General features: G+C 49.0%; 1 protein-coding gene across 6 annotated transcripts in view, besides 3 other annotated features; it reads left to right on the top strand.

The window, feature by feature from the left end:
* Positions 1,302-2,501: an enhancer, noted in NCBI's record as "MED14-independent group 3 enhancer chr1:209825272-209826471 (GRCh37/hg19 assembly coordinates)". NCBI's record gives its function as "activates an origin of replication core promoter dependent on BRD2, BRD4, P300/CBP and CDK7 cofactors, and independent of MED14, by STARR-seq in HCT116 cells {active_cell/tissue: HCT116}" and the evidence as "EXISTENCE:reporter gene assay evidence [ECO:0000049][PMID:35650434]".
* Positions 2,003-27,760, top strand: part of LAMB3 (laminin subunit beta 3) — a 37,556-nt gene continuing 11,798 nt past the window's right edge. Inside the window, exons 1-13 of one of the 6 annotated variants that reach the window (NM_000228.3) lie at positions 2,003-2,059; positions 3,447-3,511; positions 4,310-4,464; positions 15,780-15,894; positions 16,447-16,520; positions 19,790-19,981; positions 21,295-21,358; positions 21,652-21,845; positions 23,693-23,813; positions 24,503-24,691; positions 26,238-26,393; positions 26,849-27,045; positions 27,450-27,561. In NM_000228.3, coding sequence (NP_000219.2) covers positions 3,484-3,511; positions 4,310-4,464; positions 15,780-15,894; positions 16,447-16,520; positions 19,790-19,981; positions 21,295-21,358; positions 21,652-21,845; positions 23,693-23,813; positions 24,503-24,691; positions 26,238-26,393; positions 26,849-27,045; positions 27,450-27,561 — 1,597 coding nt within the window. In that variant the 5' untranslated portion in view covers positions 2,003-2,059; positions 3,447-3,483. Of the gene's footprint in view, positions 3,512-4,309; positions 4,465-15,779; positions 15,895-16,446; positions 16,521-19,789; positions 19,982-21,294; positions 21,359-21,651; positions 21,846-23,692; positions 23,814-24,502; positions 24,692-26,237; positions 26,394-26,848; positions 27,046-27,449; positions 27,562-27,760 lie in introns of all 6 variants that reach the window. The other 5 variants (XM_005273124.5, NM_001127641.1, XM_017001272.3 and 2 more) reach the window with 5 other exon arrangements.
* Positions 24,077-24,578: an enhancer, noted in NCBI's record as "NANOG-H3K4me1 hESC enhancer chr1:209803195-209803696 (GRCh37/hg19 assembly coordinates)". NCBI's record gives its function as "activates a minimal SCP1, AML or CMV promoter by ChIP-STARR-seq in primed H9 embryonic stem cells {active_cell/tissue: H9 hESC(primed)}" and the evidence as "EXISTENCE:reporter gene assay evidence [ECO:0000049][PMID:30033119]".
* Positions 24,579-25,080: an enhancer, noted in NCBI's record as "H3K4me1 hESC enhancer chr1:209802693-209803194 (GRCh37/hg19 assembly coordinates)". NCBI's record gives its function as "activates a minimal SCP1, AML or CMV promoter by ChIP-STARR-seq in primed H9 embryonic stem cells {active_cell/tissue: H9 hESC(primed)}" and the evidence as "EXISTENCE:reporter gene assay evidence [ECO:0000049][PMID:30033119]".

The following is a 27,760-nucleotide window of genomic DNA, read 5'->3' as shown; positions in this document are numbered from 1 at the left end:
CCACTTGGAAATGATCAGTGTCCCTCAGGAGTGAGGCTGGCTGGGCTGCTCTTGGGGGTCTGCATAAACAGCTTCCTGGACTTTGCCGGGAGTGTAGGGGAGAGCCAAGCACAGCAATTGGCATGTCCCTCCTGCGAAGCCAAACCACTCCAGGACCTGCCCAAGCCTGTGAAGTCTGAGACACCGAATGTGTATTTACCTGGGCTCATGGCCTCAGATAAAGGGAGGAGGAGGAGGATTTAAGGGGCCCCAGCTACTCATGGTGAGGCCCACCGCACACCTGCCCTGCCTTTTCTCCTCTGAGGATCTGGGATTGCAACACCTGCTCTCTTCTGCTGAGTTAATTATTAATGAGTTCTTTGTCACATCCTCTGGTGATGGGCAGAGGGCGAAAGTTTCATGAGCGCTCTGAGTTCAGGGAGTTGGGGAAGTGGAGAGAAAGAGACCACCAGGTGGGAGAACTGAAAACACAGGTGTGTCAGAGTCAGAGCTGACCTTTCTCGGTGGGGGACTTGAGGGAGGTCTCTCTGTGTTGAAGGGACACTGCTTCTACTGACCTTACTTGCTGAGTTGAGCTAGATTTCACTGGAATGCTTACAGGGGGCAAGACTCTAACATTTATTGGACTATCAATTATGCATCAACTTACATCAACAACTCACTGCCCACTTGCTAATTACACTATTTCTTCTGCCTACCTGAACTTATGCTTAATTCGAATCTGAGGGTTAGAAATGCCCAATTTAATCCACAAAATTCTACATTTCCCCCTTAAGGGTCTTCAAGCCAATTTCTTGGACATAACCCTCCAATGGTGGAGAACTTTCTGTTTAGGAGACACTAACAAAGTGGAATCGTAGTTAAGAAGCTCCTTTAAATAGTAGCTTTGAGGTCCTAGCATTCCAAAACGGTGCCAGTGCAGGCTCTCCAGGGCCAAGATATGGACTGGCTGACCCTCCAGGTTTCCCTAAAAGCTCTCTGACCCTAACCTGGGGGAAAGAGTGTCCTGTGAGACCAGCCTCTCAATTTGGACCTGCCACTTCCATTTACAGTGGCTGGAAGCCCAGGATCCCTGAGCAAGGAGCCCACAAAAGAAGCTGTGTTCTCAGGCCTGGCAGGAGGCCAGGGAAAGTCTGTTTTGACTTTGTCAGTCAAGCTATGCTTCAGCCTTTCCTTCCACCACTTGTGGTCAGGTCTGTTTTCTGGCCCTCCAGGCGGGCATTCCTGCCTAGGGAGGGAGGGGCTAGGAGACTAACCCTCCCCACAGGTGGGAGGAGTGACTCACAGGCAGCTACCTGTCCCAGGGCTCCCTGCCAACCCTGTGGAGGGAGCTGGAGGCGAGCCATTTAGTTACTCTGCTCATTTCTCTTAAGCTTTCCTTGGATGAGTTGAGCTTTGAATCCTTCCTGATGAACCTTGCCTTTTAAGGATCCTCCAAATGCCCCAAGAAGCTGGGATTTTTCATTTTTTTTTTCACTGGGGAGGGGAATGGTGCTTTCCAGGGTCCTGGATGTTTGAGTCTTCTCACCTTCCAGCCCGGTGATATGTCTGGAGCTTTAACTCTCTATATAAGCCCTAATCTTTGTGTTCTCTGCCTGATCTTCTGTCTGGGGTGGTCCAGGTCACAAGAAGAAGCTGACCCCTGCTGGCTTTGGGAAAATGCTGAGTTCATTGCCTGGCACAAATGCAAGGGCCCTTCCCCACCCTGTGAATTCTGGTCTCTGATGATCACTTACATGTGCCTTGTGCTTTCTGTTTGAGGGGCCCCTTGCAGCCCCCACAGGCAGGTGGGCATTGTGGAGCTCACTACAAGAACTCTGGGACGGACCGACCAACCCACTTGCCCAGTCCCGTCCTGGGAGGTGGGGGTGCAGTGACGACAGATGGGTGTGACGGCTGCCAGATTCCTGAGACCCGCCCTGCGGTGGGGCTACACCCAGCCAGGGAGTCTCCAGAGGTGAGGCTGTTGTTTAAAAACCTGGAGCCGGGAGGGGAGACCCCCACATTCAAGAGGAGCTTTCAGGCGATCTGGAGAAAGAACGGCAGAACACACAGCAAGGTATGTTACCTGTCTTTACCTGCCTGGTGCGGGCCGGATGCGGGAGGAGGACTGTATCTCTGGATGCCTGGGGCCTGGTTTCAGGGCCTGATTTATTCCTCTTCCTGGGAGCTCACTCAGGTGAGCTAGGTTAAAATGTCTGCTACAGTTTTGATTTCTTTTTCACATTTGATAAGCACCTCAGTGGCTTAGAAGAAAGCAGGTTCAGATCCGGGGTTGAGCACAAAAGAGAAGTGAGAAGGGTGGGCTGGCCTGGCTCAGAATGCCTACTTGCAGGGGGATTTTCAGTCAGGGGTGGGAAAGCTGAGAAAGCACTGGATGAAAGTCAGAAGATGGGTCTCTCTTAGGCCATCGTTAGCTGTGGGACCCCAGGCCACATGTTCCCTCCCTGGGCCCATGACTCTTTTAGGAGAGGGATTGGAAGGAATGATTTTGAAGCATTAGGATCTATAATTTAAAGATGCCAGAAATGTCCTCAATTTCCCCCCCCGCCCCTGCCTTGCCAAGCCCCCAGCCCTCCACCCCAGCCAAAAGAGTTTGTGGCTGTCATTGGAACAGAGTGAACATCCAATTCAAGGCAGAAGGGTCACTGCATGAGCAAGGGTGGGGCATGTTTCCACAAGGCAGGCCTGCCTCTGGGACCCCACGGTGGCTTTCGAGCATCCTTCCCCAGCCTCCTTCAGAATCCCTGCTTTGTGGCCTCCCAGCCCCACCCCTCTTGTCGAGCCCCAGCCCATCATTGAAGACATTTTGGGTTGCTTCCCTTTCAGAAGAAACCCTCACTCACTTGTTAAAGACAGCCATACATCTCTCCCTGTTGCATCCCAGAATTGTGGGCACAGAGCCTCAAACTCAAAGTGGCCCTGAATGGTATTGGAGGCCATGCCCGTGACAGGAGAAGGTTTGCCTCCAGGCCGTCAGCCACTCTGACTCATTCACTTTGGGCGGGGCTGGGTTGAGGCTGCTGGTCTAGGCCCTGAGAAAAGCCAGCCCTCTCTCTTGGGGCTGGAACTAGGTCTTGGCCCTTTCTACAGCTTTTCTCCTGCAAAGGGTCCAGCCTTTTCCTGCTCCCCACGTTGTCCTTACGGCTGTGTGGGGTAGGGCAGGGTCCACACTCCTTCCCATCCATTTTAGAGGAGGAAGCTGGAGTCTGGGAAGGGATGGGATTTTCCCAGGGCACCCTGTGAGTCACATGCCACTTGAGACAAGGGTCTAGAGCTCCAGCATTTTCCAAGCTACAAATGTATCTGCTGCTCCAAGTGTCCTAGATCAGGACCCTAGGTAAAGACTTCTGAAAAATACTTGAGTCTAGAAACAGAAAAGAAAAAGGGCTAGTGTGCTCTAGGGGTTTGCACTGTTGTACCCAGTTTGCTTTGCTGTGTCCTAGGAAAGGTCCTTTCTGGGGATCACCCCATTGGCTGAAGATGAGACCATTCTTCCTCTTGTGTTTTGGTAAGTACCCCTTCCCATCCTTCCAGGCCCTGTTATATGGCAGGGAGGCAACAGCCACAGGGAGAAGGAGAGTTTACCAAAGTGTGGGCATCACCTGTCACCTGTAGTCCCTTCAGTTGGGAATACTTGTCTACTGGGGACACCTGTGAGATTTCCCCATTCCTTTGGGCCTTTGGGGAAGAAGTTTCTCTGCCACTCTGGAAAGGCTCCCAAATGTCTTCTTATTCTCAGCCGAGGGTGGTTTGTGGTTTCCTGAGTGCTCTCCACAGTTTCCCATCCTTTCTCAAGCTGGTTCCAGAGCCACTGTGGCTTAAGTTCCTGTTTTCCAGTGAATTGTAGCTGGGCACTCACAAAGTATGGCTGGGGCAGCTTTGAAGATAAAGGAGCAGAATAAATGCAGGCCTTTCTTAATGTTCTGCCAATGGCTCAGCAGTCAGCCCTCCTCTGGGCTGCTGACAGAGGCCACAATGCAGGTGGAAAGAGCTGCGGACCTTGTCATGATGGCCGAGTCTATGTCTCCAGTCTGGTTCTAAAAGCCATATTTTAGGGTCATCTATGGTTTTTGGTTGCCAGTGTTTCTCCTCTTCTCCTTTTCAAGTTTTGAGTTCTGGAATATGAAATCAACTTTCAAAATATAACAGTATCAATACTGCAATTATTACTGCCAGCAGCGAGTGGAAGCTTGAGTGAGGGAAAGGATATAATCTTGCTAATGTCAGCTTCCCTGAAAGATACTGGGGTGGCCAGTGAGGTCCCTTTTTTTCTGGACTGCTCCATCACACATCCCTGTGATTTCAGCCCTGCCTGGCCTCCTGCATGCCCAACAAGCCTGCTCCCGTGGGGCCTGCTATCCACCTGTTGGGGACCTGCTTGTTGGGAGGACCCGGTTTCTCCGAGCTTCATCTACCTGTGGACTGACCAAGCCTGAGACCTACTGCACCCAGTATGGCGAGGTAGGCCCTACTTCCCAGGACTGGAGGAAGGCGGGATGGGAGGGGTGTGTGAGCTGCCATTTGTCCACTGAATACTTAGAATGTACTTGGTGTAGGCCAAGCCCTGTGTACTACACGGACTGGGGAGTGCAGTAAAAGTATAAGGCCAGATCCTTGCCTCTAAGGAATTTACCTGTTGGTTGGGCAAGAGGAAATGTACTCAGAATTAACTAAATAGCTCATTTCTCTCTTATCTCTCTGAGATGACACGGAGTCTTTTCTCAGTCCTTGGGCATGGGCAGGATAGTCTTTCAAGTCTTGGGAATAGGCAAATAGGCCAAACACTGGCCGTTTATGTGTATGGAGCCTCATGTGTTATTTGGTGCTGGGATGTGTGGGCCGAACTGTGTTCTTGCCATGGCAGGAACTGAGCTGTGCCATGGTCAGTGAGATAGATGAGGAAGTGACTTGAGCTTATCCAGCAGGGTCAGAGGCTCAGATGTAAGTTGGATCAAATCCAGAAACACGATGCTTTGAGCTATGACTAACATTGCCTGTTAGTCATGGCTTTTACAAACTTTTCTTCTAATTTGTCTCTGGGTCTTTTTTTATAGGAACTTTGGTTTTCTTTTTGTTTGCCCTCAACAGGGGGGAATCTTTCTTTACCAAAGTTGAAATCACTCAGTGTTTTCTTGTCTACCAGCTGCCTCATTTAGCCATTTTGCTTGAACAAGGGAATGGATAAGGGAGTGATTTGTCCCGAGTTGCTGTAGCCTTTTGGGGAAAGAGACCGGGGTTATCTGTCCCCTTTCCAGGCTGCCCTTGTCTTCTGGGCTGTGGAAGGTGGTATCTGATATGGCCTCTGGGCCTCACTGCCCTTCTAGTCCCTGTGTTCTCTTGGCTATTTTAGCACAGATGGTATAGGGAAATGACTGGAGTTGCTGAGCAGAGATGGCTGTGGTTTTTGCATCTCACCCACTTGGATGTGGGGAAGCTCATTTGACAGGGTTGGGTAAGATGGCCAGCCCTAGCCAGGACTCCCTGTGGGTCTAGATTACTCCATGAGCATCAGGGGACCTGGCAGTATTGAGTATTGAATTTTTAAAAAAATAAAAATTAAAAAAATTTTTTTTTTTAGGCAACAGAGTGATTTTGGCTGTTCCCTCCACCCATAACCTCCAAATTATGAGCCCATATCTAAAAATTTCAGGGAGACCTCTGCCGATTTCCTTTCTCAGGCTGACTTGCATTTTGGGAGGGGAGGCAAGGAGAGGTCAGAGACCCCTATGTTGGGATGTACCCTTGATCCCAGTCCTGTCTGAAAAGTTTCTCCTCCTCCAGGCCTGGGGCTTTTGGCTTAACACTGGCCTGCCCTCTGCCTCTCTGATGCCCCAGGAAGCCAGCTGTCTTCTCTGCTCCTAAGTAGCCCCTTGAGAGCAAAACAGGGTGCTTATAAAACAGAGTCTAGACTTTTGCAACCCTGGGGATGGATAAATCTCAGCTATTTTTCTGCTGTGAAAGCTGAGAAGCACTGGCTGTTTCTTCTTTTTTTTCTAAGGGGGAATAAATTTATCTAGCCTTTTGGAAAGAATAGAGGATAGCAGGGAGTATCTTTCATGTAGTGTGTAGTTTCAGGTCTGCCACTGACTTGAGGTGTGACCTTGGGCAAGAGATTACCCCTGTGTAAGCCTCGCTGTCCTTTTCTGTAAGTGAGTATTAGATGAGATGGTCTTTAGGGTCCCTCCTTTTCCCTAACATTCTTTGGCAATGAGCCGACTGCTGACAATCAGCATCTCTCCCCCATCTTCCACCTCTCTGTCTTGTTTCATTTCTCTTTCCCTCACTACTACATGCCTACCCTTTGCAGAGGCCATGGGTTCCAGCAATGAAGATAGATACTAAAGGCATAGAGACTCCCTTTTTGTCCTCTGGACAGATGTACCCTGAACCCCCTCTGGGTGCTCTGGTGGCTGCATGATAAGAATTAGAAATTCAGGTTTTAATTCTGCTGAGTTCTAATTTCAGTTTTTGTTTATTTTGTTATTAAATGATACTAATGGCAATTATAATTCATTAAGCATATCATATGTGTCTTTGGCATCATATTAAGAGTTTTATATAAATTATCTCAAATAATTCTTATAACACCCATGAAGTGGCTCATGTTTTCCCTGTGAGCTATTGGGAGGGTTTGGTTGTGTGCTGGGATCTTAGACTTCCGAGAGAAACATATCGTGTATTGAGTTTTCTGAGTAGTTAGAGATAGGGGGTGTACTGGACAGCCACAGCCAGAAATGAGGCTGGCCGAATGCAATGCTGTATTCCTACTGCCTCTCCCTTCACCCTTCCCTATCACCCCTCTCTAGTAGTTCCCACTCCCACAGACACACTTCCCTGAAGCCAAGGCCTCTGGCTAGTGCCTCTGTTCTATCTCCATGCAGGGATGACATAGCGAGCCCTGAGCCCAGGACCAGATCATTCTTCTGTGCCACATCCTACTGATGTGCCATGAATGCAAGGACAATGGGGTGGAGATTTATGACCCCTGGACATTTCTGCCTTGCTCACTCCACTCCCCAACCCAGTTCCAGCCGACTAACAGAGGGCGACTCAGCAGAATGGAGTTACAGGAGCAGTAGAGACTCCTTTTAGTTCCAAAATTGTCTCTCCTAGTTCCCTTCCTCCAAGTGTGGCTTCCTTTTTGTGGACCAGTCTTAGCCTGTTTGCATGTTACCTCCTCCACCCAATTCTGTCTCAGTTGCTGAATCCCACTGGTCTCAAGGGCTTGCTTCTGTAAATTCCGGGTCCATGTTGCAACCCTTGCAATGGACATAGGTCTTGGCCAGCTTTGCCTTATGGCATCTTCTCTGCCTCCCCAACTTTGCCCTTCTGGGCTCATCTGCTTTGATGACCCATTAACTGTCTGTGGTTGGGACAAGGCTGTTCTTTGCCAAAATGGCCTGAAGCTGTAGTCCCATCACCCTGGCCTCTTGCTTTCTTTCTTCCAGCTCCTAGATGGATTCTAGGAAAACTCACTGCACTATTATTCCCTCAATCTCAAGGCATGGATGAAAATGTCTGTGATTCTGTGATGCTTCCCTGCCCTCATTTACTTCTGTGCTATCCGTTGGCCTCATTTGAAAAATGGGCTTCAGTGGTTGTCATGAGCACTCTATAAAAGAATGTGTAAAGTGACCACCAGCATAGTGCCTGGCAGATGCAAACTGTTCTATCCAACCCTTCTCTCCTGCCTGCCTCCTGGTGGCTGCATCCACATGCAGAGGCTGCCCCATCTGCAAATCACACTCCTGAGCATTTCTTCCCTGATCAGGACATGCGTTCGCGTACCTCACTAAAATCCACCCATCCCTGGGCTGCCCTCCTCTGTGCCTCCCAAGGTGATCGGTGCCAATCTGACTTAGAGTGAGCTGTTGAAGAATCCACAGGCGGTCATGGTTAGTGAAGTCACCCCAGACTGGGGGTGAGGACTCCCTCATTCTGGTTCTGGTTTTGACACTAATAACAGGGATGTGGCCTTGTGAAAGTCAGGGCTCTTCACCAAACCACCATTTTTCCATGTGTGAAGTGAAGGAGCTGGGTTAGTCAACCTTTGCCGTTTATTCAGCGCTGGCCACTCAGCTTGCTTCTCAGAGACAGATGGGCTGTGTGTGACCCTGAGAGTCCACTGTCCTCTCTCAGGGCGTGTGAAGGCAGGGGCTGCACCATGCCCTTCGGTCATCTCTGGGATGACACGCATTCCTCAAGAACCAGCGGATTTGCCGGAAAGCTTTCCATCCCTGATTTCTGCTCCCGACAATGTCTCCTCCAGTGTTGTGTCTGCTCCCCTAAATGCTTTATTTATCCCCCATTCCCTCCCTTTCTGGGGAAAAACTTAATTGCCCAGCTGCCTTAATAACAGTCTTACACAGCGCATTCCTCAGGTTAATTATCTAAGCCAAACAGCTGTCATTTTTATCTCTTGGAAACAAGCTGAGGAACAGTAGCCAGTTGGAAGTCCCTCCTCTCTAATACGCGCAGGCGCACATGCATGTAAATGCACCCTTATCCCCCTGCCCGCTGACACACACACTCCAACGACCACTGCCTTTCTTTGTTTGACAGTTGTCTGTTTTCTTGATTTTCAGGAAGGCTAATGTGTAGGCAGAGGATGTGTTCATATATGTACTATGATCCCTGTACTCAACCCACAAGGGATTTTGAGCCCGCCTCTGACCAAAATATCTGCTTTTTTTTTTTTTTTTCCCCTGGGACACAGAGTCTTGCTCTGCCACCCAGGCTGGAGTACAGTGGCATGATCTCGGCTCACAGCAACCTCTGCTTCCCAGGTTCAAGTAATTCTCCTGCCTCAGCTTCCTGAGTAGCTGGGATTACAGGCATATGCCACCATGCCCAGTTGATTTTTGTATTTTTAGTAGAGACAGGGTTTCACCATGTTGGCCAGGCTGGTCTCGAACTCCTGACCTCAAGCGATCTGCCCGCCTTGGCCTCCCAAAGTGCTGGATTACAGGTGTGAGCCACTCCCCCCGGCCCAAAATATCTGCTTTTTTGTTTCCCAGAAGCCCTAAGCAGGTCTAAAGCTTCCAGAGCTCTACCTTGGGAGTTTACTGTTTTGGATGAAGCATTACTGAGTTCCTTGTTTAAAACACAGATAGCCTTGAGAAAAGCACCATATCAATCTATGACCTGCCATTCATCCCTCAGCAAGACTATGTTTATCAGAAACTTAGATGTGACTTTTGCAAAGGGACCCACGAGACCCAAAATGAGTCTTGTTTTGAGGGGATAGAAGAAAATGGAAAGGGACATTGTAGGGAAAAATTGCTATCAGAGAGAAGCAAAACTTGGGTTGGTGGAATGTGAGATTCTTGGGTCCTAATTGTTATGGGCTAAGGGGTAGGCCTTGTGAGGTTAAAAGCAGAGAGGAGAAATGTGAAATGGGAAGGCCCGAAGACAAACCTGGATGGCCTCACAACTTTGCTAGCCTGGCTTCTCACTCCATTGCTTCTGGGGTCCAGGCCCACAGAAGCCTCTGGGAACTGTCTTGCAGACCTACCTTGCTTCTTTTCCTGGCCATCTACCCCCTGCCTGGGTGCCATATGAGGGTCTGTAGCCATTGCCACTGGCAGGACCTGTAGAGGTCCCCGGCACACTAGCCAACTTTCTGCACTCAGGTCCAGGGGACATCCCTCTTTCTGGAGATGTCTGTGCTGAAGTTGAGGTTGCCTTTCCAGTGGGGTGGAATGAAGCAGAAGAAGGGAGTTTCCTGAAAACCAACTCTGAAATTTTCAGTGATTGCCAAGTGACTGCTATGCTCCTTGAATCAGAACAGCACCAGTATGCTGGGGAGGAAAGAAAAAAAAAAAAGAACAGCACAGGTAGTTTTGGAGTCAGACAGGTGGGACAAGAATCTGTGCTTCATCCCTTGCTAACTTTATGGGCTTGGACACATTTCTTAACTTATCACTTTCCTAATCTGCAAAATGGGGATACCTACCATTTGTAAATGTAGTATAGCTACCTCAGAGATTTTTGAAGGATGGAATAAGATAATATATGTACACTGCTGAGGACTGAGGCTGGTGCAGTGTAATTTTTGAGTGTGTAGCATATATCATCTCTATAATCAGCTTCAGAGAGTGATTTCTGAATTTAGTTAGGATGGAAATAACAGCTGTACTGAGTTAAGGCTTTGGTCAAAATTTCACTTCGTGATAAGGAAAAACACAAAGTTGAAAGTATCTCACATACGGCTGTCCTCCCACCCAGCGCCTGCACTAGGTGCTGCCTTTTGATCTTCATTGCCAATATGCATTGACATAGAAATGCTGAGGCTTTTGAACTGCGGTGGGTTCTAATGGAGGCCTGACTGACCATAGGCCTCAAGGATCTCCTTCTCCCTGTCCATATTGCTGGAAAAAGTGTTTCTCCAGGATAGCATCTGGGGAATGTCTTGTTTTTCTCTTGCTTTCTTTGTCTACTTGCTGAGAGTACCTTTAACTTCTGGGCTGATGTGCTAGAGCAGGGAAGAACTCTAAGAGCATGTTAGAACAAGATGGAACTTTATTATCTCATTCAACCCTTGTATTTCACCAATAGGAATGTGGAAGTGGAGGAAATGTATTTTCTTGAAGGCAGCTAGATTTTTTTTTTTTTTTTGCTTTTGGCCCTGGCTGGTGGCCATGACCCGATCGTAGCTTCTTAGATGAACTCAGACAGCCCTCTGGCTTCCTCATGGGAGGGAGCTGGGCCATGCATAATCAGAGCCTGTTTTCCTATTCTCCCCCAGAATTAGCTCTGTGTTTTACAAAGGCTCAGAGTTTTTAGTTGTGTGTGCCCTCCTTTTCCACCCATCTCCACCATGATTCAGGCCCCTGCTGGCTCTTGCCCTCTTGCTCCTTTGCCCTCCCCTGGCTCTCTGGGAGGGTTCATCTTCCAGCCAGACTGCTGAGCTTCTAGAAAGCTCTAGGATAAGGGAGAAGGCCTAGCCTTTCCAGCTGGAGAGCAAGTAGGAGCCAAACTGGCTGGAGGCCTGACAGGCTGAATTGATAATAGTACTGTGTCTCTGAGGTAATGCAGCCAGGAGAATGCCAGCCAAATGACCCCAGAGAGGGAGGCAGCTGCAGCAGAGAGCTGCCATCACTGGGAGAGATGGGGGCATATCACATATGAGAGATTCTCACACTGAGAATCACACATGCACACGACGCTTACAAATGTGTGCACCCTACATATAAGCATACAAGAATAAAGCAGAAAGGGAAACTGAGACCCAGAGGGGAAGGATAAATTAGCAGCTTGTCTTCATGTGGGCTTCTGCCATAAACTACTCTATTTCAGGCTTCTGTCCTGCTAGCTCGTTGACAGGCAGAGCTACTTAAAATACCTGTCTTGCCTGTTGGCTTAGCCTGTCTCTGAGGATTGAGGTAAATTCCTCCTTCGGCTATGTTACTGTGATAAGCAGCATGCAGTTTGTAAGCCTATGATGCCATCTGATCCTGCCATCAGTGCCTGCACACGTGGACAGAAGGAGAAGAAGGCATGGGTGCCCCAGATTATCCCCATGAAGACTGAGGGAGGAGCAGGGCAATAAACCCTGGCCATTTTTAGTTGGTTTTGTTTTATGATACTATTTGCTCTCCTGAATATAAAAGTTAATATGTATCCAAGGTATAAAAATTTAAACAAGCTGGGTGCAAGTGGCTCACACCTGTAATCTCAGCACTTTGGGAGGCTGGGGTGGGTGGATCATTTGAGGTCAGGAGTTCGAGACCAGCCTGGCCAACATGGTGAAATCCCGTCTCTACTAAAAATACAAAAATTAGCTGGGCATAGTGGCATGTGCCTGTAATCCTAGCTACTCGGGAGGCCGAGGCGGGAGAATCGCTTGAGCCTGGGAGGCAGAGGGTTGCAGTGAGCAGAGATCGCGGCACTGCACTCCAGAGTCTGGGTGAGAGAGTGAGACCCTATCTCAAAAAACAAACAAACAAACAAACAAAAAAGCTTAAACATAATAAAAAATAACAGAGAAGGAAAAAAAGTTATCTATGATTCCACTACCCAGAGATATCAGGTTGAACTGTATGCAGTTGCCATTTTTGTAGGTCAAAATGGGTGAATATCAGCAATTTCATGTTTTCACTTAATATATTGGTGTATTTCCTTCCAAATACTTTACATTCCTTTAAATGGAAATATATACATATATATATATTCACACACACACATATATTTGAGATTATAATGTATATGCAAGTGTATGCCCAGCTTTTTTTCATAAAACATAATATAATCATTTCTCCATGCAATTAAAATTTTTTCTCTAAACAGTGTTTTTAATAGTTACATAATATCCTGTCGTTTGGGAGTATCAGGGGCATTTCCGCAGTCTCCAGCTCCTTGTCCCATGGCCCAGGGAAAGAAAGAGGCTTGTTTCTGGCACTCTCTTGACCAGGGAAGGGCTGGACCAGCTCCCAGCAGAGCTGGGGAGAAAGCTCTGGTGACAGGCGGCCGGAAGGCAGCTGGCCCTTGTCTCTCCTCAGGACATGTGCTGAGTGCAGACAGAGGACGGGAGTGGAAAAGTTTGTTCCTGAGAGGCTGGGAAGAGTATAAAGAAGGGCATGCTCACTGCCAGGGACCAAAATAGGGGTCTGGAGGGGAGTCAGGCTCTAGCAAGGGCCTTCTCTTGCCCAGAAAGGATTATTTTAAGTGCTCAGGTATTTCAGCCAGCGACAGGTCTCCAGTTTCTGTGGTAACTGAGCTGAGTCAGCTGGAGAAGCCCCGTTTCTTCCCAAAGTGCTCTCTCTGCCTTAGCCTTCCCTGTGATAAGCTTCAAGGTCAGACCAAGCCCTTCTTGGGGCCTTGGGGCTCGCTGTGTGAGACAGAGACTGCTACCCTTTAGCATACTTCCCTACATCTTTGCCACTCAGCTAGTTTCGAGTGGAAGTGAGAGGATGAAAGAAGGGAGAAAGAGAGAGAGGAGAGGGACCCTTTCTGATGCTAACGTTGGGGATCAGTCAATAGCAAAGTCATGTTGCCTCTTTGTGCCTCAGCATTCCCCTCTGTAAATGGGGCTAATACTACTTATCATGTAGGGTTATTGTGAGATTTAAGTAGGTTATTGCATTGAAACTACCAAGGACTCCACTGCACATGGTTGTACTCCACCACTTACTACTGATGCTTTATTACCTACTCACTCTTCCACCCCTCCTTTCAAACTCCCTGAGTGCAGGAAGGGAGTGCCTAGTAATAATGCTAATGCAAATAGTTTGCCTTTACTGAAAATTTGCTATTCGTTTATTCAAGAAGTATTTAGTGAGGGTGTATTATGTGCTAGGTATTTTTCTTTCTTTTTTTTTTTTTAAATTTTTTTTTTTTTTTTGAGACAGAGTCTCGCTCTGTTGCCCAGGCTGGAGTGCAGTGGCACGGTCTCAGCTCACTGCAAGCTCTGCCTCCATGGGTCATGCCATTCTCCTGCCTCAGCCTCCAGAGTAGCTGGGACTACAGGGGCCCGCCACCATGCCCAGTTAATTTTTTTTGTATTTTTAGTAGAGAGGGGGTTTCACTGTGTTAGCCAGGATGGTCTCGATCTCCTGACCTCGTGATCCGCCCGCCTTGGCCTCCCAAAGCGCTGGGATTATAGGCGTGAGCCACCGCGCCTGGCCTGTGCTAGGTATTTTTCTAAGCACTGGGAATACAGCAGTGAAGGAATGCAAATTCCTGCCCTCATGGAGTATGCATTCTAGAAGAGGGAGGCAGACAATATACAAATAAATAAATAGACAGTAAATATGCAATGTGTCAAGTGGAGATATGTACTATGAAAAAAATATAACAGGGCAAGGGAATGCACAGTGAGTGGTGGGAGGTGGGGCAATGGGTGCTACTTTATTTTATTTTATTACTTTTTTTTTTTTGAGACAGAGTCTCGCTCTGTCGCCTAGGCTGGAGTGCAGTGGCACGATCTCGTCTCACTGCAACCTCTGCCTCCCAAGTTCAAGCGATTCTCTTGCCCCAGCCTCCCGAGTAGCTGGGACTACAGGCACCTGCCACCATGCCCAGCTAATTTTTGTATTTTTAGTAGAGACAGGGTTTCACCATATTGGCCAGGCTGGTCTTGAACTCCTGACCTCGTGATCTGCCTGCCTTGGCCTCCTAAAGTGCTGGGATTACAGGCGTGAGCCACCACACCCCACCAATGGGTACTACTTTATAAAGGGCTTATGTGCCAGCTGTTATTTGAGCCTTAAACACCCAAAGAATGAATGTTTAATAAAGCATTTTTGGACATGCCAAGGGCACCTCCAAGCACTAGGAAGGGTGATAGTTCTCTTCATTTGCAGACTGGGTGAGACCTGGAAAGTGGAGTGGGAAGCAGAGGCCCAGGGAACCAAGACACCTGGCTCCCCTCTTTGCTCTCTCCTGTTGCAGGCTGTGCCAGCTTTGGAGAGGGAAGATGGGTGTTGGGCAGGGAGGTTCTATCACTCAAGGCATAGGCCCCATATATCCACTCAGACTCTTTGGGTCGGTTCTTTGTTCTGGTGAGTGGAGGCTTAGAGGAAAGCAGCGGTACAGGGTGTGTGGAGGGACAGTTTTCCCTACCCAGAAGGACCTGCAGGTCCAGGAGTTTCTTGTCCAAGACTTGCATCTATTTGTGGGTAAATCTGGAGCCCTCTGGACAGTATGGTTTAAGCTGCGCACAGGGTTTGGGATCATGGCTACTCAGAGAAAGCAGATTTTATGTATGTTATATGGGGGAGCTGGGAAAAGGTCGTGTTATCTGTGTGTGTGTGTGTGCGTGTGCGCATGTGCACGCGTGTGCGTGTGTGTGTGTGTGTGTATGTGTATATGTATGCACATAGGCACAAGCTAAAAGAACAAGGGATATATCGCCTCTCTGGCCATGCTCTTTTTCTTGGTGATCCTTGCTCTGCCATGAAACCTATGGGGTTCAGTTCTGGCTCCTGTCTCATTCCAAGAGATAAGCGTAGGCCAGGTTATTGGTGACCTCCCCAGTGAGGCCGGTTGCTCTCCTGTAGGTAGGGAATACCGAACCTGAGAAAGATCCTCACGCCCCAGATGTCACTGCTGGAAGGCCTTAGAGATCATTTGAATGTCACTAGAATTTTGGGTCCCTGAGGGCAGGGCCTTTGTTTTGTTCCCTATTGTAACTCCAGAGCCCAGAGTAGAGTCTGGCACATAGTATATGCTAAATAAGCATTTGCTGGGTAAATGAAAAGCTCTAGCTCAATCCCCACTTAATTTATGGAGGAGAAAGTTAAGCCTAGGAAGTAGAGGTGACAGAGCTAGGACTGTAACTCCACATTTCCTTGTCCTCTTTTGGAGTCCTCTCTCTCTGATCCTTAAAACCCCAGAATTTCCCAGGCTGCCAGGATTAAATGAGGTAAACTATAAAACTTTCCAGCCTGTGCCCAGTATGTCGTAGATGCTCAAATAATATGAATTTCTCCCCCCGCCCCCCTTTTTTTTTTCTCGGCACTTTTCTCAAGTTTCTCTGCAAGGCAATATCATATACTCAAGTATTTTTTCCCACCTCGTACCTCTTCTCCGTTCACACATCTATTCACCATTCACTTGCTATGTGTTAGGAGGGGCACCAAGGAATTAAAAGATGACCAATTAAAAGGTGATCAATAGCTGTGTTTTAAGAGATTAACCCTTCAAATTGTATTAATAAAATTAGTGATTCCTAAGGGCAGGATTTCCACAGAGGAGATATGCTGGGATCTCAGGACGCAAGGGGGAATTCTATCAGGACCCCACCTCTGAGTGTCTGCTATCTCCCTCTCCCACAGTGGCAGATGAAATGCTGCAAGTGTGACTCCAGGCAGCCTCACAACTACTACAGTCACCGAGTAGAGAATGTGGCTTCATCCTCCGGCCCCATGCGCTGGTGGCAGTCACAGAATGGTGAGCATTTGCCATCTACGGGAACTCAAACTGTACAGCCTCCACAGGATAAGACGGATGGAAGGTGCCCTATAACCCTTTGGGTTTCCCAGGCATTTCTTATGGTGGTGTGACATGGGTGATTGATAAGAAGAATCTTTCTGCCTCATATTTGGGGTCTGTTGGATGTTATGGTAGAAGAATTTATTGGAGGTGAAAGAAAGGGTGTGAGGAGAGAGGAATGTCTTTATTTCCCTCCACTCAGTCTCAGTGGGTGGGCTTGCAGAATTAAGTTTGGGGAACAAGTCTGTGTGGAACAGACAAGTTGAAGCCCTCCAAAGTATTGAAGACATCAGGTGATGGTGGGAAGGAAACTTAGCCAAAAACAGATAGGATCTTGAATAGATAATATAAGCAGAAACATACCACTCCCCACTCCTCTCCAAGAGGGAGTTTGGAAAATCAAGGTTAGAGAGTTTCTGAGTTCCTAGAGCTAGTCTAATCCAGGGCTTCCTTCAGGGCTGGGGAAGTGGACAGTCTCTGGATGACAGTTTCTATTTTTTGTCCTTCCAGATGTGAACCCTGTCTCTCTGCAGCTGGACCTGGACAGGAGATTCCAGCTTCAAGAAGTCATGATGGAGTTCCAGGTGTGCCTCCTGGGGGTGGCAGTGGATAGGAGAGGGGCTCCTGGGCCATGTGGGCGTGGAGCCATGGAGGAGCACAGTGTCCTTGTCTCTCTGGGTTGGGGCAACACTCACCATGAGCCTATATCATGGTGACAGAAGAGGACTCGCTCCTGGGCTAAAAGTGGCACCTCCTGGCTCCCTGTCTTGGCCGTGCAGTGGTTGCATATCCTCTTCCTCTCTCATTCTCCACCCTCAACCCATCTAATTAATTCAGCTCTGCCAAGTACCAATTCTACTGGGCCCGGTTGCTTGTTGTACAGTTGTGTATTCTTGGTATACTCTGTTTTAATAACTTTGCATATTAGATTGACTTTAACAAGCAGCCAAGAACTTGCCTATCCAACTAACTGATGGATATTCCTTTGGTGCAGCTCTCTTGGTGGGCAATCTACTCATTCAGCGCCATTACTTCTCAAAGCACTTTCAGATTCTGCCTTTAGAACATCCTTCTAGATACTTCTTTTGGAGGAAACATTTTCATTTAATTGCCATAGGTCAATTTTTTCTTTTCAGAGATGATTTGGTTTTATTCTTTCTACAGAAATAGTCAGATATTCAATGATCAAATTTGGTTAATAAGATTAAAGGATTAGGAAGGGAGATATAATTTTCAGGAGTTAAAATGAGCTTGGAATAAAAAGTAATAGGACCTAATTTCTTACATGACTGAAGAAGTTGGCTCTAAGAGCCTTGCCCCATCTAAAGGTCAAAAATATTTTGAGAAATGCCAGCATTGTTTGAATAAATGCCCAGTCTCTAAAGGTGGCAACTTTGAAGGGCAGCATATTCATTTGATAGACAGTGTTAAATAGTCTCCTCACTTTATCATCGCTCACCTGTTCATTTATTTGTCATTTATTTGTGAGCGCTTATTGAACACTGATTACTCATTAGGCTTGGTGTCAGATGTTAGGGATATAAAGATGAATAAAACCAAATCACAGTCTTCAAGCTGCTTTCACCATACGTGGGGAAGTCAGTAGTGAGAGAGTGCAATGTGTGCTCTGATATTGGTAAGAAGAGGTGCTGGGAGCCCAGAATGGGGCTCTTGCATGGTCTGTCTTGGGAGGGCTTGTCAGGGAGTGCACCCAGGGGAAGATGAACTTTCATAGACCAGTAATGGCCAGGGGAAGGGCAATGTTTATTCCAAGAAAACAGAACCATAAGCACAAAGGCCGGGAGGCAGGCGGCAAGAAGATGAGGTATATGACTGGGGTTGGGGGCAAGGGAATGCACACAGGGCCTGGAGGGTGAAATGTGCTTGGTGGCAAGAGGCAGGGATGTGGAGGGCTGAAGACTGCTGCGAGATGAGTTTCCAGGTATACACAGGGGGAGGGGAGCAGACTGAAGATTCACCATTTGTTCAACAAATATGTGCTAAACACCCATGTGCTAGGTGTTGGGGGTCCACCTGTGAACCACAGACAATAGGGGCTACAGCCTGGTTTACTGAGTCTCAACCAGGGGCACTGTTTTGCCCTCTCCTCTCCCCCAGGGGATATCTGACAATTTCTGGAGACATTTTTGGTTGTCATAACTATGGGTATGTAATGATAACTGGTGGGTAGAAGTCAGGGACGCTGTTCACCAGGCTACAGTGCACAGGACAGCTTCTAGGACTAAGATTTCTCCAACTCAATACTTTAACAGTGAGAACGGTTGAGAAATCCTGGTCTCACAGGAAAAGAATAAAAAGCAAGAAACCAACAAGTAAATAATTGGAAATCGTGGTGACGTTTCTGAAGGAAACAAGATGCTGAAATAGAAAATAATGGGGCAGGGTGGGGTGGGCCAGACGTGAGCAGGAGAATGCAGTTCAGTCAGGTATCAAAAGATCTGTACCAGGAAATGACATTTCAGCTGAGAACAAAAGATGAGAGGGAACCCACCAGCGGGAGGAGCATTCCAAGAAAGACTGGACAAAGGCTCTGAGGAGGGAATGAGCTTGGTTTAGGGCTTGAAGAGAAGAGGTGGCCTGAGAGGAGGCAGGGCCCAGGGAGCCTGGGGCCTCTTCACTCATGGTCAGAAGTTCAGATTTCGTTCCAGAATAGTATTGGAGGATTTTTAGCAGAGGACTGACAAGGCCCATTTTATGTTTTAAAATCATTAAGAAGATGACCAGCCTGGCCAACATGGCAAAACCCTGTCTCTACTAAAAATATGATTAGCTGGGCACAGTGGCTCACACCTGCAATCTCAGCACGTTGGGAGGCCGAGGCGGGTGGATCACTTGAGGTCAGGAGTTCAAGACCAGCCTGGCCAACATGGTGAAAACCCATTTCTACTAAAAATACAAAAATTAGCAGGGCATGGTGGTGTGCGCCTGTAATTCCAGCTACTCAGGAGGCTGAGACATGAGAATCGCTGGAACCTAGGAGGCGGAGGTTGCAGTGAGCCAAGATCGTACCACTGCACTCTGGCCTGAGTGACGGAGTGAGGCTCTGTTTCAAAACAAACAAACAAACAAACAAACAAACAAAAAACAGAAGATATGACTGAGTAAGAGTGAACGTGGGGAAAGGGGAAATCAGATGAAGCTTACTAGGGAGATCAGGCAGGAGGGGACCCTGAAGCTGGAGAGACAGGCCTGGGCCTGGTTCAGTATCTGCTTTGGAGGCTGAGTTTATTATAGACCTGCAGTTCCAGGAAGTTGTTCAAGCTGGGAGCTGTCAGCATAAAGACCACATTTAAAGCCACCCAAAATGGATGAAATCATTTTGTAGGAAGGAGCAGGGACTCAATATGTCATGCTAAGGTGCTCAGTTTATATCATGAGATCAATGCAGACTGATTGAAGCTCTCACAGATCAGATAATCACCCAGGAAGAGCTCTCTGGTGAGTGGGGAATGTGGTTTGGAGGGCCATGACAGAGGAGGCTGGACATGAGTTCCAGGAGAGAGACAGAGAGAGGAGAGAGAGAGAGAGAGAGAGAGAGAGAGAGAGAGAGAGAATAAAAAATGGTCAACTGTGCGAAGTGTAGGAGCAGAGAAATGTCTATCCTGGAAGCCTGGTGAGCTGAGCTAGGGATCACTCCTGGAAGGCAGATCCTGGGAGAAACTTCTGTGGCCTGTGGTATGCCAGGAGGTTTGGACCCGGATGCTCCGAGCCCACTTGCTCCCACTGGGCCCCCTTTCTCCCGAGTTCACTGGAGGAGCCTGTCTCTCTGCTTGTGTCTCCACGGGGCACAGCCCCAGTGCCTCCCCTCTGCACACTGCCCCTGTCTCCACAGGGGCCCATGCCCGCCGGCATGCTGATTGAGCGCTCCTCAGACTTCGGTAAGACCTGGCGAGTGTACCAGTACCTGGCTGCCGACTGCACCTCCACCTTCCCTCGGGTCCGCCAGGGTCGGCCTCAGAGCTGGCAGGATGTTCGGTGCCAGTCCCTGCCTCAGAGGCCTAATGCACGCCTAAATGGGGGGAAGGTAGGTAGAGGGAATCCTGAAAAGTAGGCCTGGGGAGAAATCCCTGATGTCCCACTGTTCACACAGCCACACGGACTCCTGAGAAGGGACGGAAACACCCTCGCCAGCTCCCCTTGCTGACTTTCCTGAATTCCCACCAGTAATGACCCCTGTGGCCACCCTCAAAACATTTGCTGCTTATCCTCTTTGCTGAGGAAGGATATTTCAGCAACACCTTGGGGCCACCGCATTACTCACCCCTGCCGTCTTCCACAGCCCCCTCCCCCGTGACTCATTGGCTCATCCCTCTAGTGGGAAGATGAAATCGACCCTACTTTGATATGAGGACTTTGGGATGCTAGTTAGATGCAAGTGAGCAAATTACACAAATTTCATTTCACCTTGGTAGGGTTTAACACAAAAATAAACATTTTCAGTTTAATCTATCCATCTAACCCAGTCTTAGCCCTTGGAGGGAATTCTGGTAAACCCAGAGCCCGAATTCTCCTGAGCTTAAACCCTGAGCTAGAAATAAGAACCTGCCTGAAGAAAAACTCAGAATGTTTCTCCCTAAGTCCTCCCAACGTGGGTCAAATTCTTTCATAACTGCGTTTCCCCATCCCCTGGCAGAGGAGGCTGTAGTTTCTCTTCTCCTTTCCCTGGCTGAGACACAGGTGAGCCCTCAGAGCTGCTCTCATGTGGACCGATGCTCAGAGTGGGGCCCTCTATGCAGGCCATGCAACTCTTCCTTTGGTTTTAGCAGTTCCTCCTTGGTTATACCCTTACGCAAATCTATGTTAACTACATTCTTCACACACCAGATAAGAACTTTTTCCTAACTTGTGGAGGGCTGATGTGAAAACTCTTCCTGGGATATGTAGATGATGAGTGGATTTTTTTTTTTTGAATAAATCAAAGCATAGTTGAAACTGGGATTGTCCAGAGTGCTGTGGTCACCCACATTCACGCATCCTTGGGTTTTAGATTTCTCACTCATCCTGAGTCATCAGAAAATTAGTATCTCCTAAACCCTTATATGTAGATGATATATCTTACCATACTTTTTGACCCAGGGAACTCAGAAAATTCTTAGGATACTTATATTTTCAACTGGCAGGGGTTGGGGGTGGGGTACACACACACACACGTTTAGGGCCCAGTGATCATCTTTCTCCCCCACAGCAGATGACAAGCCTCATAGCCATGGTCTATCTCAGGTTCCAGGTAACAAGGACTTCAAGTGTGAGGCATATAATGGAAAGAAAGGTTTCTTCTGAACTCGGGGCACACTATTTGTCTCTTCTTCAGCGCTTCTCTTTCCCTTCCCTCTGTAGGTCCAACTTAACCTTATGGATTTAGTGTCTGGGATTCCAGCAACTCAAAGTCAAAAAATTCAAGGTCAGTGTGGTTACTTCTCTTGTCCATGGAACTATGGGTGGGAAAGGAAACAGAGTTGGAGCCCAGGTCATGGAAATTTCCTGGTCTTTCATGTTTTTGTCAACGTGGTTGGGGATTTGATACTTGCCCTGCTTGCCCCATAGGGATATTGTCTGTGGGATGCTATGGGATGGTTGAGGTCTGGAGAGGATGGCCCACGGTATCACATATGAAGGAGACTCTATGTGCCTCTAACTTCCTTTCTTTATTTTCCATTCTCCAACTCTTCCCTCCTTGCTGTTTGGCCCTCTCAGAGGTGGGGGAGATCACAAACTTGAGAGTCAATTTCACCAGGCTGGCCCCTGTGCCCCAAAGGGGCTACCACCCTCCCAGCGCCTACTATGCTGTGTCCCAGCTCCGTCTGCAGGGGAGCTGCTTCTGTCACGGCCATGCTGATCGCTGCGCACCCAAGCCTGGGGCCTCTGCAGGCCCCTCCACCGCTGTGCAGGTAACAGCCTAGGGTGGGAAGGGGAGAGGAAGGGGGCAGGACCAGGGCAGACTACAGACATTCTTGGGGCTCCTGTAAAGCAGGAAGGGCACTAAATCTAAGACTTGGGTATTTAATACTTCAGCAGCAACAACAAAAAATCGAAGTGGTTTTCGTTCCAAAAATCAGAATCATTTAGTACTTCTTTAGATCTGCTTCCTAATTTGAGATGATTTTCATTTCATTTACATAAGTGTGGAAATTGGGAGGGAGTTTAAGCCAATGATTCTCAACCCTCGTTATGCATTATAATTTCACTGAGAGCTAAAAATGTTGCCCAGCCCTCCACCCTAAGATATTCTAATTTTATGATTGGCTTTTAAAGCTCCCAGGTGACTCGAATGTACTGCCAGGTCTGAGAGCCACTGGTTTGGGGATTTTAAAGTCTCAGCTAGTGGTGAGATATGGGGCACGGTGAGAGACCAATGTTTAGTACAGATGCTAAGTCTACCCTAGACCAGGCGGATTGGCTTCAGCAGGGATGGGGTTTGAGACGTTCCAGTTTAACAAGCCCTCCCCTCCCAAGGGGTTTTGCTGTGAAACCAAGCTTGAGAACCACAGGTAGAGAAGAGAGAACCTTGAGCAAAGAAGCAGAGGGACCCAACATGGGAGCGTGACAGCTGTCCTAGTGACAGGGGGACAGGAGGAAATCATGTAAGATGGCCTGAGTGGGAAATAGAGGTGGCACAAGCCTCAGCTGGCATTCTTCTTTCCACTTCTGGGCCAAATTCTGCCCCAGGCTGCAGAGGTGTACAGAGGGAGGCCAGCTCAGGGAGTGTGTCATCTGTCAGGGCCCATGAGACATACTCCTAGAACCCAAGGCTGAGTGACACAGAGGGAATACAACATGCTATGACATGACGAGGTGGGAGGGAGCCACCCAGCCCTGGTGGTCCTCAAATCTGGCCATGCAGTGGAATCACCACTTTTAAAAGGTGCCACTGCCTGGGTCTCATCCCTGAGATTCAGAGTGAATTGGGTCTGGACCTTGGCATTTTAAAAAATGTTCCCCAGGTGACACTGAGGTACAGGCAGTGTTGAGATCTATGGAATTAGAGGCACCAGGGAGGCCTTATGAGAGAGGTGCCGTTCTAGCTGGAGCCTAGCTGGCAGGATTTTGTGAATGAATACAGAGAGAAGAGAATTCTAGGCAGAAGAAAAACCATTGCTAAAGGCCAAAAGGTGGAGAAAGTAGGGCTTGCAGAGGGAGCAGCTAGAAGTTCATCTTGCTATGCTGTCAGCAGGACATGGGAGCTGAGAATGCAGCTAACATGATACAGGTCCTTGAATGCCAAGCTGAAGGTGTTGGGCTTAATTTGGAAGGCAATTAGCACGCAACAGCTATTCTATTTTTATACCTTAATGAGTCTAGTGACAGTTCATCACAACAGTTCCATTAACCAAACAACTGTATTCATAGATTGTTGGAATAGAAATCTCCAGAGGGCCCCACCAGCTTCTGGATCCCACAGTTTGCCAAGGGTGTCTGAGCACCTGCCAAGCGCTGCCTCTGACTGGGTGTCATGGGGGTGTCCAAGTGCAAGCAGCGAGCTTGCAAAAACCTCACTAGGGGAGCAGTGCGGGCACACGCACGTGCACACACACACATGCTCATATGTGCAGAACAATAGCAGACAGTTTCACAGGAGCTGGGTGAAGTCTGCGGCATTCAGAGGAAGCTTCCTGGAAGGGTTGGGATCTAAGCCAGATCCTGAGTGGTGCGCAGAGGGTCAGAGGGCAGTGGGCAGGTCCATCCCTGGTGCCCTTCTTTGTTGATTACTCCTGATGGCTGACGGTCCCCCTCCCAGGTCCACGATGTCTGTGTCTGCCAGCACAACACTGCCGGCCCAAATTGTGAGCGCTGTGCACCCTTCTACAACAACCGGCCCTGGAGACCGGCGGAGGGCCAGGACGCCCATGAATGCCAAAGTAGGAGCTTTGGATCACCCCTCCCCTGTAGGGTCTGGGTCGAGTGCTGGCCCCTCTAGGCCTTGATGATCTCACCTGGGATGCAGGGGGATCCAGTCTTTCTTATGTAAATCTAAACTGAATTGCACCATTACAATTCAAGCTCTCCTGGCTCTGTGAGGATGGAGAGAGTATTTGGGTGACATCCTCCCACTGTCCCCAGCTAGAGCCTGCTTCTTCTGGCCTCTCCAGTTGCTTTACCCTGTTTAGGACATATCTGGTTTTTCTATTGTCATTTTTCCTACTTCAAATGGCTCCCTAGAATCAGGCCCTTTGTTTACATAAATGAGGAAAACAGAGATTCTCATCCTGGAGACAGGCAGTGACCCAGGAGGAGACCAGTGTTGGCAGTGGGAGGGTTGGGGATAGAGCATTCAAAGGGCTCTTTCTTTGGCCCAACATGGCCACTGTTCTTGGGTTTATTCCAACAGTAAGAATCAGGAAGGCTGAGTTCTTATTCTCCTCTGCTTTCTTATTGGTCATGTAACCTTAAATAAGTTATACAAACCTCCCTTGCCCTCAGTTTCCCCACTTCCCTGCCTTGATCATCTTGCAGAGTTGTTACAGATGCCAGTGAGCTTTTGTGGAGCATGCTCTGTAGATAGCAAAGGTGTGGGTCAGATGTCAGCCCTGGGACTCTCTTTTTCCAGGGTGCGACTGCAATGGGCACTCAGAGACATGTCACTTTGACCCCGCTGTGTTTGCCGCCAGCCAGGGGGCATATGGAGGTGTGTGTGACAATTGCCGGGACCACACCGAAGGCAAGAACTGTGAGCGGTGTCAGCTGCACTATTTCCGGAACCGGCGCCCGGGAGCTTCCATTCAGGAGACCTGCATCTGTGAGTAGAGGCTCCGGAGTCCCAGAGTGTCATTTGTCTGTTACTCCCCATCTCCTCTGGGTACAATAGAGTACATGTTCCTGGGCACACCAAGGCCCTCAGGGAGCATGAAAACTTGGCTGTGAGTCAGGATTTGTGGGAGATTATTTTAATTTAGCTATTACTGAGCAAGTCACTTAACCTCTCTGGACCATCAATCAGACAATCAATCAAGAGTTAGGCTTTATTTGGGGCATAGGGAAGAAAAAAGTAAACATAAGATACAGTTTGTGCCATCAGGGAACACACACACTGTTTGGCAATATAAACTGTATACACCTGCAGAAGAGGGATGAAAGCACCTTTTCCGTATGTATATGATTGCCTTTACCATGTTGTAATGAGGTTTGTGATTTAATTTTCTATTTCTCCCAACATCGAGAACTCCTCCATGGCGAGGATTATTTCTCACATCCTCTAGCCCTAGCACACTGACTGGAAAATAACTGATGCTCAGGGAGTGTTTGTGAATGTAATGGGAGGCAACAGGCAGAGGCAGCTTAACATGCACACAAGAGCCAGCGACTTCATATAGGAGAGGGCTGCCTGGACTGAAGCAATCAGATTCGGGCAGGTTTAGTCAGAAAAGACTTTCTGGATGAAGGGGTCTTACATTTTGAAAGGTCTGAAAGAAGTCAGGGAGTGGGGGTTGGGGAAAGCTGAGTCACTTTCTGTTGATGTTTGTTTCTGGGAAGAGTGAGACAGAACTGAGTTTGATCCCTGTTTCTTGCATGAACTTGTAATGAGAACTTGAATAAGTTATTTGACATATCTGAGCCTCGGTTTCCTCCTCTGTACAATGAGAATAATAATCTCCAGGATTATCATGAAGATTACATGAGGCAACATATGACAGTTCCCAGTTCAGTGGTTGGCACAGAGTAGTTGCTCAGTAAGTAATGACAACAAAACCGCTTCTATAGTACTTAGCATGTGCCAAATATGCTCCCCCTGCTTTATGTTTACTCATTTCTTTCTCTCTCTCTCTCTCTCTTTTTTAATGGAGATGGTTTCGCTCTTGTTGCCCAGGCTGGAGTGCAATGGCGCCATCTCAGCTTACTGCAACCTCCGCCTCCCAGGTTCAAGTGATTCTTCTGCCTCAGCCTCCTGGTAGCTGGCATTACAGGCATGCGCCACCGTGCCTGGCTAATTTTGTATTTTTAGTAGAGACAGGGTTTCACCATGTTGGTCAGGTTGGTCTCGAACTCCTGACCTCAGGTGATCCACCTGCCTCGGCCTCCCAAAGTGCTGGGATTACAGGCATGAGCCACCGCGCACAGCCATTTACTAATTTATTTCTCATAAGAAGCCTATGAAGGCTGTATCATTATTTTTATTTTATAGACAAGGAAATTGAGGCACAGAGGGATTAAGTAACTTGACTAAGGCTGTGAATTTGAAATCCAGTGGTGGAACAAGGATTTGAACCAGGCAGCCTGGCTCCTGGAATCTGCTCTGAACTCTACTTTTCTTTGTTCCTACTGCGGTGGCTGCTGTTGTCTCTCAGCCTGCGAGTGTGATCCGGATGGGGCAGTGCCAGGGGCTCCCTGTGACCCAGTGACCGGGCAGTGTGTGTGCAAGGAGCATGTGCAGGGAGAGCGCTGTGACCTATGCAAGCCGGGCTTCACTGGACTCACCTACGCCAACCCGCAGGGCTGCCACCGTGAGTAGGGGGCTTGGCCCAGCATGACGTGGGGTGGGCTGCATGGGGCCACCAGACCCACGGCTTGCCCTGCTCACTGTGCTCTCTTCAGAGGAAATCCCACTGCAGGGTAGACAGAGGGGGTATGCCCGGGCCTTTGCCAGGAGTCCGGACTTCTTGCCCTCTTACCCAGCGCCAGATGCTGTGCCACTGGCCTCCAGCAGGTGGCAGCACACGTCCGAGTTGGAAGGTGGGACTGAGTCAGCCAGATGGAGGGTGGGCAGGCAGGCGGCTGAGCTGCCAGGTGGCTGGAACTGGTGGGACAGCGCAGGGGTCCTGTGAGTCAGCCATGTCATCTGCAGGGAAGGGCCCTGCCCAGTTCTTTTCCCAGGCAGCGCCCCTCCCTGGATGTGTGTCCTCTGGGGGTGAGTTTTTCATGGAGCGTCTGCCTGAGCTCAGCAGCTCTCCTCCTGCAGGCTGTGACTGCAACATCCTGGGGTCCCGGAGGGACATGCCGTGTGACGAGGAGAGTGGGCGCTGCCTTTGTCTGCCCAACGTGGTGGGTCCCAAATGTGACCAGTGTGCTCCCTACCACTGGAAGCTGGCCAGTGGCCAGGGCTGTGAACCGTGTGCCTGCGACCCGCACAACTCCCTCAGCCCACAGTGCAACCAGGTACGAAGTGAGGGTGGTCCGGGGGCCCCCTCAGTGGGAGGGGGGTCCTGAGCACCAGCCTCTCTGCTGCCCCTCCATGCTGCCCTTCTAGGCCTCTCCCCTGTCAGACTGGGCGTCTTCTGTCCCCGTTCTCATTTGGGGAAGTCACCAGATGTCCCTCCCTCTGTGGCTCTTGGCCGTCAGTAATACCATATGCACCACACCTTCTGAAGGGCCTATGCTGGGCCTTGACTTCAAGGCTCATCTCTGAGTGGGAGCCCTTGTTTTGTGGGCACAGCAGCTCTGGAGGTGGCCATGAGCCCTGGATTCTACCTGTGGACCAGGAATCTAGGACACAGTCCCTGACACCAGGGTAAGGCAGAGGCTGTGAGGCAGGGTCCACTGACGGTGCTCTCCCCACGCAGTTCACAGGGCAGTGCCCCTGTCGGGAAGGCTTTGGTGGCCTGATGTGCAGCGCTGCAGCCATCCGCCAGTGTCCAGACCGGACCTATGGAGACGTGGCCACAGGATGCCGAGGTGCATGCTCAAAGCCTGGGGGACGCTGAGGCTCTGGGGGCCGAGCACGCGGGTGGGCACATGGTGGGGGCGTGTAGGTCTGCAGCAGGGCAGGATGTCCTGTACTGATGCATGTGGTGTGGGCCTGGGCAGCCCTGTGAGTGCACACACTCCGGCCTGTTGGCATGGCCTCCAAGCCCCTGAGGCAGGCCTATGCCCG

Source organism: Homo sapiens, chromosome 1 (assembly GCF_000001405.40).
Source record: "Homo sapiens chromosome 1, GRCh38.p14 Primary Assembly".
NCBI classification, from domain to species: domain Eukaryota; kingdom Metazoa; phylum Chordata; class Mammalia; order Primates; family Hominidae; genus Homo; species Homo sapiens.
Note: the sequence above shows the minus strand (reverse complement) of the source record. Positions and strands in the feature narration are given on the sequence as shown.